The 12,748-nt window shown below is 43.4% G+C and overlaps 1 annotated feature.

Moving 5' to 3' along the window:
- Positions 8,677 to 8,786: an enhancer, noted in NCBI's record as "active region_23590". NCBI's record gives its function as "activates an Ori minimal core promoter by ATAC-STARR-seq in GM12878 lymphoblastoid cells {active_cell/tissue: GM12878}" and the evidence as "EXISTENCE:reporter gene assay evidence [ECO:0000049][PMID:35858748]".

Raw genomic sequence — 12,748 nt, forward strand, 5'->3', positions numbered from 1 at the left:
CATAAGTTCTTAAAGCAGGGACCTCATTTGCCTTGTTTTTGTTAGGTCTGATGTAGAGTGGGTTCTTAATATTTGTGAAATGAATTGAATGAATGGATGTGATGAAAAATCTGCCTCAAAGGTGTATTTAGTCTCTACATCTTTGTCATTCTAATCAGGAAGCCGGAAAGGCTCTGTGTAGAACAGAAGTACTAAAAGCTGGTTTTGTCAGGTGCCAGGGTGCAGACCCCCCTCCCATCCAGCTCAGGACATCACCCCCTGCCCCCAAACACACTTGTGACTCCACAGCATAAAGAAGCGGAAGTGATTGGGAGCTAACACACACATAATGTTTAAATTCGCTGAAGAGCCAGGCATGGTGGCAGTGAGCCGGGATCACGCCACTGCACTCCAGCCTGAGCAACAGAGTAAGACTCCATCTCAAGGAAAAAAAAAAGGTGTCTGGTATCTTATCTCGATAAGATATCTACTCATTCATACAACTATGTAGTATTCCACTGAATGGATGTGCCATCAGTTAATTGACGGACACGTCTGTTGTCACCAGTCACTTGCTTTGACAGTGCCTAATTTCTCTCTTTGTCTATACATCCTTTCGCACATGTATGAATATGTCAGTAGATAAATTACTGCCCTCATTCTTGAAATGCACTATTAGACTCCCAGGTAAAACTGTAACATACCTCTCCGTCTCCATTGCTTGAAGGGCAGTAGAAAAAGATGAGACTCTGGAAAAGAGAAGTCCTGAGTGCCATGTCCACACTGCACCTACCTCCAACTCCAGGACTTTGAGCAAGATGAGATGCCTTCCCTTCTTCATTGAGTGAGGTGAAGATTCAATGAGATTAGGTAGAGGAGAGATGTACGTTGCTAATGGATGGTAGGAAAATTGTTATATTCTAGTAGGGAGTATTTTCTAGTTGTTATATTCTAGATGATTCTGGGAATAACTAAACCTTACGAGTTTGGCCTACACCTTTGGTAAGGTTTTTCTCAGGGCCCTTGGGACTGAATAAATGTATTTTTTTTATTTTTATTTTCTTGGGACAGAGTCTCGCTCTGTCACCCAGGCTGGAGTGCAGTGGTGTGATCTCAGCTCACTGCAACCTCCGCCTCCTAGACTCAAGTGATTCTCCTGCCTCAGCTTCCCAAGTAGCTGGGACTACAGACATACACCACCACGTCTGGCTAATTTTTGTATTTTTAGTAGAGACAGGGTTTCACCATGTTGGCCAGACTAGACTTGAACTCCTGACCTCAACTGATCTGCCCGCCTCAGCCTCTCAAAATGCTGGAATTACAGGCGTGAGCCATGGCACTGGCCTGAATAAATGTATTTAGGAGAATGTGGTAAGTAATAAATTTGCAACCAACCACAGAGTAGCTGATAAATATACATGAAGCTAATTAGAGTAACAAAAGAACACAAGCTTGCCATTGCAGTACTTTTTACCATTTGCATTTATGTATTTGATTCTTTAGTTTTATCTGTCTGTTTATTAGGATGTTGGAGACACAGGGCAGGCACCATGCATATCTTGTTCACTATTTTAGCCCTGGGGCCATGACAGTCCCTGACAGATGGCAGACCCTCCAACACTTGTTCAGTGAGTGAATTAAGCTAAGACCAAAGTTCTAATTCCAATCCTGCCAAGTACCAACACGAATGTGGGCACACACTTCCAAATGGTTTTCAACCCTCTCTGCAGGCTGCTATGACAACAAGTGACTGGATGCACTGTTTCCCCAGAGGGAGGCATAAGTGTATGATTGGTGACAGGAGATAATGTTAGGTGGTACATGGGTGAATTTTTATATTTATAGTCATATTTGTTTTAATATACATAATATATAACTTGTCCATCAAACCCATGCTTTCACAGATATTACTGTTTAAGATGAGGATAAGTAAATATTTAAGTTAATAAAGTGAATCAATTTAAAGAAAAATATGTACTTAGGTGAAACAAAGAAATGGCAAAAATAGTGATGATGAAAACATCTGGGGCCGGGCGCAGTGGCTCACGCACCCTGGGTGGGCCTTCCCACCACCCTTGTGATAGGAGGGAGAGGGAAAAAGAGAGGTTTTCAAGGATCAGGGGACCTGCCTCCTCCTAGGTCAGGGCTTTGTCTCAGCCCCACCCCTCCCTAGGAGAGTCACCGTGTGCTTGGGGGCATTCTCACTGTGCATAGGAGAGTGCACAGCTGAGGCAGGAGAATTGCTTGAACCTGGGAGGCGGAGGTTGCAGTGAACCGAGATCGTGCCACGGCACTCCAGCCTGGGCAATGGAGTGAGACTCTGTCTCAAAGAGCGTGCCCTCTCCCAGAGCCTCAGGATGGGAGCCTAGTGTCTTTTTTGAAAAAAATTAGACTTAGTTTTCAATTATTATGTAAGTAATTGATACACATCATTAAGTAAAAATGATAGGAGGCCATGGTTTTGGACTAAGCTCCTGCACCAGGCCCCAACAGACCAGACTAAAAATCAGAATGGAGTCACCCATGCTCAAGTTTCATGTCACCAAACCTAAACTAAGTTACCTGACCTTCAGGGAAATCGGGAGAGAGAGAACACCCAATTTCCCAGACAGGTCCTTTGAAGCCTTCAGTCCTTCAGTCATGAAGAAGTTCCCTCTGCCTTAATCCTTACAGGCAAAAAGGTAGCCTGAAGGAAACTGTCGTTAACTACGCAGTTATTTTTCTATTATTCTATTATGTCCCTATCTTATGAGAAAAGTAACTTTGAAAGGACTAATACATCCTGTTCTTAGCTTCTGCTTCCTTCAGGCCTTCTCTATGAAGCCAGCCTATTCTGCTCAGCGCTTTGGAACACTGATTCTATTTCATGGACCGAAGCATTGCCCAATTGTAGAATTGCAATAAAGCCAACTGAGATCTTTAAATTGGCTATAATTCATCCTTTGGCAATACAGTAAAAAAAAAAAATTCTCACAATTCTGTAGAAGGGTATGAGATATACAATAAAAGACACCCCCACCCTCTGCAATCTACCACTCACAGTAGTTTATCTGGTGGTTTCCACTTTTTAACAATGGTCTGGGCCAGGTGCAGTGACTCACTCCCGTAATCCTAGCACTTTGGAAGGTCGAGGCGGGCAGGTTGCCTGAGCTCAGGAGTTCAAGACCAACCTGGGCAACACAGTGAAACCCCTGTCTCTACTAAAATACAGAAGAAATTAGCCGGGTGTGGCGGCATGCGCCTGTAGTCCCAGCTACTCGTTTGGCTGAGGCAGGAGAATTGCTTGAACCCATGAGGCAGAGGTTGCAGTGAGCCGAGATCATGCCGCTGCACTCCAGCCTGGGTGACAGAGCGAGACTCTGTCTCTAAAAAAATAAATAAATAAAATTTAAAAATAAAATAATGCTCAGTAGGCCAGGCACGGTGGCTCATGCCTGTGATCCTAGCACTTTGGGAGGCCAAGGCAGGTGGATCACCTGAGGTCAGGAGTTTGAGACCAGCCTGGCCAATATGGTGAAACCCCTTCTCTACTAAAAATACAAAAATTAGCCAGGCGGGGTGGTGTGGGCCTGTGGTTCCAGCTACTTGGGAAGCTGAGGCAGGAGAATTGCTTGAACCTGGGAGGCGGAGGTTGCAGTGAACCAAGATTGTGCCACTGCACTCCACCTCTGGGCGATAGAGTGAGACTCTGTCTCAAAAATAAATAAAATAAAATAAAAATGGCCTGTATTATTTTTATTCATCATCTTCAGTAAGACCTCTCCACTCATCACCATAAAGATGAGGACATTATGGCACATACTTACCCTTTCTCCTTCCCAGCCACAACTTCTAATTTTTCTTAGTTACATTATTATTTTTATATAGTTTAAAAAAGGGTATCACATTTACGCACTGCTCTGTAATCATGTAATCCTAAAGCTTCCTCTGCTGTGAGTTGATTTAGAAAGTTAAAAACTAGTAAACAGCATTTACAGATTGATGGGGAAATCAACATTATTCCCTATGGAAACAAGTAGTGTGTGATCAGAGCTGGGTCATTAAAACTTTACCACTAGAAGGAAAATTTAAGGTTCCAGTCATTCTTTCCCTCCCCATAGCTTTTTTCATTTCTTCCTAGTCAGTTCATTTTCTCTTGAGAAGTAAAACCAAAATCCTAAGCCCCATGACGGACTGAATGGATGTCCTATCCTGTTGGCCAAGGAGAGCCCGGGACGGCATCTGGAGGTGGGACACACCTCCTTATACCCCCGCCCTCCCTAGCTTCCAGTAGGCATTCTTTCCTAAAATCTAAACAGAAACCAGACCTTTGGAAAGCCTGGCTTCACCGCTGATTTCCACCAACTCCCCCTCCCTTTTGCCATTTCACCACAACAACCAACATGCATTCCTTCCTGATAAGAGGCCACCCACCACTGAATGGTTCTGGCCAGTTTACAACGGATGTGCAGGGAGGGTTTTCATATCCTCCCCTTCGCCTTTTGACATCAGAGGCCCAGAAGCTCCACCCTCAGATCATGGTAAGGACACCATGTTTTGTACAGGGGTCCCATGAAGGGGCATGAAGCTCAGTTGCGCAGGCACACGTTTCTCCTTTCATAGATATTAGTGACCCCTCCTACAGCTTATTAAATATATATATTTGGCCACCTGCTCAGCACACATTCTTTTTTCCTCTGCCCTTCCCTCAAAGTGCATGTTTTCAGCTACTGGCTGGAGGCTACACTTTCCAGCCTGTCAGAGTGGCCACCTGCAGCATGCAACTCTTTATGTGAAATAAAGCTGTCCTCTCCAAATTTATGAACCTCATCATTCTTCTCTTGACTCTTTTTTTTTTTTTTTAAGACAGTCTCACTCTGTTGCCCAGGCTGGCGTGCAGTGGTGCGATCTCAGCCCACTGCAACCTCCACCTCTGGGTTCAAGTGATTCTCCTGCCTCAGCCTCCTGAGCAGCTGGGATTACAGGTACCCGCCACCACTCCCGGCTAATTTTTGTATTTTTGGTAGAGATGGGATTTCACCATGTTGGCCAGGCTGGTCTCGAACTTCTGACCTCATGATTTGCCCACCTCTGCCTCCCAAAGTGCTGGGATTACAGGCGTGACCCACCATGCCCAGCCACTTGACACTCTTAACCCATGTCCTCATTTTTAGACTCCTAATCCACCAGCAAGTTCTGCCAATTCTGTCTCTAAAATATATCATAAATCTATCCATTTTTTTTTCTGCTACCATTTTGATTTATCATTGCTGACCTGAACTTCTTGGAATTCTGAGATCAAGGTCCTGGCAGGTAGGGTCAGTGTCTTCAGAGGACTCTTTCCTTGGCCACTTTCTCCCTGTGTGTTCACATGGTCTTACCTCTGTGTGTGTCTGTATCTGCGTCCTAATCTCCTCTTATGAGGACACCAGTCATGTTGAGTTAGGGCCCATCCTCATGACCTCTTTTTTTTTTTTTTTTTTTTTGAGATGGAGCCTCTCTCCATCACCCAGGCTGGAGTGCAGTGGCGCGATCTCAGCTCGCCACAACCTCTGCCTCCCAGGTTCAAGTGATTCTCCTGCCTTAGCCTCCTGAGTAGATGGGATTACAGGTGCATGCCACCACACCCAGCTAATTTTTGTATTTTTAGTAGAGATGGGGTTTTGCCATGTTGACCAGACTGGTCTCAAACTCTTGACCTCAGTTGATCTGCCCACTTTGGCCTCCCAAAGTGCTGGGATTATAGGAATGAGCCACTTTGCCTGGCCCTCTTGACCTCATTTTAACTTATTACTTCTTTAAAGACCCTATTTCCAAATAGTCACATTCTGAGATATTGGGCGTTAGGACTTTAAGAACTTTGGGGGAATACATTTCAGCCCATAACACCACCCTTCTTTTTTTTTTAAGACGCAGTCTCGCTCTGTCACCCAGGCTGGAGTGCAGTGGAGCAATCTCAGCTCACTGCAAGCTCCGCCTCCCGGGTTCACGCCATTCTCCTGCCTCAGCCTCCCAAGTAGCTGGGACTACAGGCGCCCGCCATCACGCCCGGCTAATTTTTTGTATTTTTAGTAGAGACGGGGTTTCACCGTGTTAGCCAGGATGGTCTCGACCTCCTGACCTCGTGATCCGCTCGCCTCAGCCTCCCAAAGTGCTGGGATTACAGGCGTGAGCCACCGTGCCCAGCCAACACCACCCAACAAAAATTCACCACCCATCTACTCATCCAAACCCTCTAATGGTTCCCATTGTGCATAGAATAAAATAAAAAACCCCTGCCTTGACTTTACGTGGGTAAAGGGAAAGGGAAAGCTTTCCCCTTGGCCTCCTGAAGTTTCACTGGAAAATCAACTTGCAAAAGGCAGATTAGTGGGTAAAAAGGCATACAAGTTTATTTGCTGTATATTCACAGGGTATATACACAGGGTATTTACAAATTTGCTGTGTATTACTCAGTGCAACCACTGAGTAATTAATTGCTCACCCCGCAAGGTGGTGCCTAAGTGTATATGTCATCCTGGCAAAACAGATTATGGGAGTGGGGGAAGAGGAGTTCTGTTGAGGGGATTTTTAGGGAGAATGGATGGATTAGGGAACAGATATTAACGTGTACATTATCTTGTGAAAAGGTCTGTTCAAGTGTGGCTACACTGTTGGTTTTACAGGAAAGGGAAGAAAAAAGAGTCGTCCTTGATGTGCCTTACTTAGTGTGTCTGGATCTCAGGCAGATAAAGAAACTGTAACTTCTTTGGGAAAGATGGGGTGAGGGAGAAGGTCAGAGAAACCTTGAGTGTTCTTCGCTTCAGTATGTCAAAGCACCATATTTTGGGGTATCGGTTTCCGAGCCCCAACAACTTACAAATTCTTATATGCTCTCACTTTTGCCAATCTCTGCATCTGGGCCAGTACCCAATCCCCCCCTCCTTTTTTTTTTTTTTTTTTGAGACAGAGTCTTGCTCTGTCACCCAGGCTGGAGTGCAGTGGCACGATCTCGGCTCACAGCAACCTCCACCTCCCGGATTCACGCCATTCTCCTGCCTCAGCTTCCTGAGTAGCTGGGACTACAGGCACCCACCACCACGCCCGGCTAATTTTTTGTATTTTTACTAGAGACAGGTTTCACCGTGTTAGCCAGGATGGTCTCGATCTCCTGACCTCGTGATCCTCCCGCCTCGGCCTTCCAGAGTACTAGGATTACAGGCGTGAGCCACCGCGCCCGGCCTTTTTTTTTTCAAATGCGGTAATGTATCACTTAACGATGGGGACAGATTCTGAGAAATGTGCTATTAGGCAATTTTGTTGTGTGAGCATCAGAGAGTGTACTTGCACAAACCTGGATGGTAGAGCCTACTCCACACACAGGCTATATGGTGTAGCCTATTGCTCCTAGGCTCCAAACCTGTATGGCACATTACTGTCCTGAATACTGTAATGCCAACTGTAATGCAATGGACGTATTTGTGTTTCTAAACATAGAAAAGGTACAGTAAAATTAGGGAATGAAAGATAAAAAATAGGGCCAGGTGAAGTGGCTCACGCCTGTAATCCCAGCACTTTGGGAAGCTGAGGCGGGTGGATCACCTGAGGTCAGGAGTTCAAGACCAGTCTGGCCAACATAGCGAAACCCTGTCTCTACTAAAATTACAAAAAATGAGCCGGGCATGGTGGTGCATGCCTGTAATCCCAACTACTCAGGAGGCTGAGGCAGGAGAATCACTTGAACCAGGGAGGTGGAGGTTGGAGTGAGCCAAGATGGCGCTACTGCACTCCAGCCTGGGTGACAGAGCGAGACTCCATCTCAAAACAATAATTAAAAAAAAAAAAAAGGATTAAAAAAAGAACACCTGTATAGGGGCTTTCCATCAATGGAACTTGCAAAACTGGAAATTTCTCTGAGTGAATCAGTGGGTGAGTGGTGAGTGAATGTGAAGGCCTAGGATATTACTGTCCATTACTGTAGACTTTAAACATTGTACACTTAGGCTACACTAAATTTACTTTAAAAATTTTGGCCAGCCATGTTGGCTCACGCCTGTAAACCCAGAAGAGGCAGGAAGATCCCTTAAGCCCAGGAGTTCAAGACCAACCTGGGAAAATGGCGAGATTCCCATCTCTACAAAAATAGAAATAAAAAATTAAAAATGTTCTTTCGTCAGTAATAAATTACCCTTAGCTTACTGTAACATTTTTACTTTATAAACATTTTAATTTTTTAATTTTTTGCCTCTTTTATAATAACAGTTGTTTAAAACAAAACAACGTACAAAGGTACAAAAACATTTTTATAGCCTTATTCTAGAGGTTTTTTCCCACTTTTACAACTCTTTTGTTAAAAACTAAGACACAAACATACACATTAACCTAGGCCTACACAGGGTCAGACTCATCAAGGTTGTCGCTAGGTGATAGAAATTTTTCAGGTTCATTATAATCTTATGGTACCATCATCACATGAGCAGTCCATCATCGACCATACTCTAAACTTAGCTCCTGCCTCATTTGCATTTGCTAGTCTCACTGCATAGAACCTTCCTACTCATTCAATTAAGAAACACTTTTAGAGCAATGCCCTGTGTCAAGCACTGCTCTACATTGAGAAAGTGGCTCAGAGCAGTCTGAGGAATGTGAGATATGCAAAATTGGTTAGGCCCAGACAGGAGCAGGAGACACCTGTCACATCCTCGGCACCCATGCCTGGGGGTAATTGCTTAGAGGCATTTTGTTTTCTCTTTCGTTTTCTGTAATTTCAGACTAGCTGATAAATTACCCACAATGTTACCACAAGTTACACAATGTGACCCTCACCTATTATCTTCACGTTCCTGGGGTTTGTGGTACAAAGATCAATGTATAGACAAATGATAGCTTATTTTAATGAACCATTGTAAATTCTTGGTAAGCAGCTTAGGAACTGCATCCTAACTTTTTCATCTTTTTTTTAATCTTTAATCCACTTGTAACGGCTGCTAATCGGAGCATATATTCAGGGCAACTTGAATCCATGACTCCCAGGCTGTAGACCTCAACCCTGGCCCAAATAGACTCTCTACTTATATTAATTTTGCTTCAGTTTCTTCCTTTAGGTCAACAAGATGAACAGTCTTCCCAGCTGGGCTATACGTACCTCGGGGTACAGGAAGTCCTGTACAACTTACAAATTCCTATATGCTCTCACTTTTGCCAGTCTCTCCACCTGGGCTAGTACCCAATTCCCCCCTTTTTTTGGTTGGGAGATTTGGAAGTCCTGTACCCTGAGGTGCATATAGCACAGTTGGGAAGACCCTTCAAAGGGATCTGTGGGCCCAGATATACTAGGGAAATCCTGAATTTTTGTATACTCTTTTCTAAAATTGATTGGCCTGCAAACTCAGTTTTCCAATTCTCCTTTTACATCTCCCCTTCCACAAAGAAAAGCATAGCACCCTTTTCCATTGCCTGTCGTGGGTAGCGACTCTCTGGGGCCCGTGTCACGCAGGTGGTAAAAAGAATTCATCAATACAGTTGTAGGTAAAGAAAGGCAGATTTATTAGACAAAGCAGGAAAGTATGTTGCAAGGGTGCAACAAGCAAATCAGCAAGAGAGGAGCTGACTGCCAGGAAACAAACGTTTGCTCGGGATTTGACAGAATGGTGCTTGGGCTGTGTGTTAAGAGGGCTTTGTGCAGTACTGATAGTGCTGAGGTTGCAGTGAGCTAACTTGCATTTTTCTATCAGCTGAGGTGTCTGGTAATAGCTGGGTGCAGGAAGATGGTGAGTAATTTGCACAGGAGGACTATGTATCCTGAACCACGAAGAAAGGTAGACTTATAGCTTACCTGCCTTTTCTTTTTGCTTTCCTTCATCCTTACCAGCCCAACTCCCCCTCCCTAAATTAGGACTCCACATTGCCTGGGTGTAAACTAACAGGAATTGAACAAGGGACACTTCTAGAACATATTTTTCCTTTTCTTTTTGAAAACACTTTCTTTATATATATATATAGATATATTTTTTTATTATACTTTAAGTTCTAGGGTACATGTGCGCAACGTGCAGGTTTGTTACATATGTATACATGTGCCATGTTGGTGTGCTGCACCCATTAACTCGTCATTTACATTAGGTATATCTCCTAATGCTATCCCTCCCCCCTCCCCCCACCCCACAACAGGCCCCGGTGGGTGATGTTCCCCTTCCTGTGTCCAAGTGTTCTCATTGAAGAACCTATTTTTCCACAGGGCATATCCTTGAGCGCTAAACAAAGAGGGCTTAGTAAAATGATTGACTGTTTTTATTTCCTCCTTTATCTTGAAGATAGAGATCTATCTGCCTATCCCTTTGTCTATCCACCAGCTTGTCCATCCCTCCCTCCATCTTTCTCAGAACTTAGAAATAAGGTATCAGAGTGATGTAACCACCCAGTGGATTCTTCCTGCCTGCTGCACAACAAAATTGACTCATGGGCACCATGGCATTGCAATAAAGAAAGTTTAATTGACACAAGTCTGGCCACACAGTGTAAGAGACGGAGTTATTACTCAAATCAATCTCCCTGAAGGCTCCTAGGTTAGGGGTTTTTCAAATATAGTTTGCTGGGCAGTGGGGTAGGGTAGGGAACATGCTAACTGGTTGAGTTGGAGATGAAATCATAAGAAATCGAAGCTGTCCTCTTGTGCTGAGTCAGTTCCTGGGTAGGGGCCACAGGACTGACTGGTGGGTCCAGGTGGGGCCACCCGGTTGTCAGAAATGCACAAACCTGAAAAGACATCTCAAAAGGCCAATCTTAGGTTCTACAATAGTAATGTTATCTGCAAGAGTTATTGCAGAAGTTGCAAATCTGACCTCCAGAATAATGGCTGACAATTATTTAGAATTCAAGTCCCTCTCATTCTCATAGTTTAGTTGCCTTGCATTAGTTTTACAAGAACACTTTGATTTTGGGGAAGGGCTAATATCATTTCAACTATAAACTAAATTTTCCACAAAGTTAGCTTGGCCCATGCCCAGAAATGAGCAAAGACAGACAGCCTGTGAAGCAAGATGTCAAATTTCTCTTACTGTCATAATTTTGCAAATGCCATTTCAGGAACATGCACAGTAGTCCCCCCTACTTATGTGCTCAAGATATTAAGTGGAAAATTACCAATTCATAGGCTTAAATAACCAATTCAGAAATAACCAATTCATAGGTCTTAAAATGCATGCCATTTCTTGGTAGCATGATGAAATCTCCACCGTCCCATTCTGTCTTGCCCAGGATATGAATCCCCCCTTGCCCAACAAATTCATGCTGTCTACACTACCCACCCATTAGTCACTTATTAGCCCTCTGAATTACTGGATTGAAAAAACATAGTATATATATAGGGCTTGGTACTATTCACGGTTTCAGGCATCCACTGAGGGGTGTTGCAATGTATCTCCCACGGATAAGGAAGGACTGGTATATTAACACTTTTATTTGATTTACAAAATAAAGGATAGTTTATATAGTTCTGGGTAAAATTAATTAATTAATTTAAAAGGAAAAAAGATAAAGGCAAACTTTAAGCTTGTTAAAAATTAAGTAAAATAATTTGGATTATTTAATTGGACAAAGAGGACTGGCTTTGCCAATGAAACAATATGGCCGACATGTTCCATAAATTGGACAAGCTAAACTTGCAAATCCACAGTTTTGACGAAAATATAGTGAGAGCACTTATGAAACATCATGCCAGAAAATAATCCATTCCCAGAAGTTGTGAAAAGAGTTTTTAGATGTCTTTTTTTTTTTTTTTTTTTTTTTTTTGAGACAGAGTCTCACTCCGTTGCCCAGGCTGGAGTGCAGTGGCCAGATCATGGCTCACTGCAACCTCAAACTCTTGGGTTTAAACAATCCTGCCTCCTAAGTCTCCTATATAGCTGGGACTACAGGTGCACACCACCATGCCTGGCTAATGTTTTGTATTTTTGGTAGAGACGATGTTTCACCATTTTTTCCAGGCTGGTCTTGGACTCCTGGGCTCAAGAAATCTGCCTGCCTCAGCCTCCCAAAGTGCTAGGATTACAGACATGAGCCACTGTGCCTAGCTCGATGTCAACTTTTAAAAGTATACACTGGGATATGAATTTTTAAAATACTTTTATGAGGCACGGAAGCGAAAACGTTTAGAGTGCTACTTTCTAAGTTCTGGAGTCATAGAGAAGAGTGAACAAGATAATTAAGGTCCCTGCCCTCTTAGAACATATATCCCAGGTTTGCTGTTTATAATTTTAACTCAATATATATACAATGAAATATTATTCAGCCTTATAAAAGAAAACCCTGTTATGGGTGACAACATAGATGAACCTGGAGAACATTATGTTGGTGCAATAAGCCGGGCACAGAAAGACAAATACTACATTAGCCCATGTATATGTGTAATCTAAAAAATTCAGATTCATAGAAGCAGAGCATAGAATGGTGGTTGTCAGGGCTTCAGAGGTAGGAAAGATGGGAGATGTTGCTCAAAGTTACAAAGTTTCAGTTAGGCGGGATGAATAGATTCTAGAGATGTAATGTATATTGTATACTTGCAGTTTTCGTTTTCGTTTCGTTTTGTTTGTTTTTAAATAGAGAGAGAAAAGGTCTCACTCTGTCATCCAGGCAGAGTACAGTGGCATGATCATGGCTCACCGCAGCCTCAAATTCTTGGGCTCAAGTGATCCTCCCACCTCAGCCTCCTATATACCAGGGACTACAGGCACATGCCACCATGCCCGGCTATTTTTCCATTTTTTTGTAGAGACGAGGTCTTAGCTGTTTCCCAGGATGAGAATAGATCTTA

Source organism: Homo sapiens, chromosome 5 (genome assembly GCF_000001405.40).
Source record: "Homo sapiens chromosome 5, GRCh38.p14 Primary Assembly".
NCBI classification, from domain to species: Eukaryota; Metazoa; Chordata; class Mammalia; order Primates; family Hominidae; genus Homo; species Homo sapiens.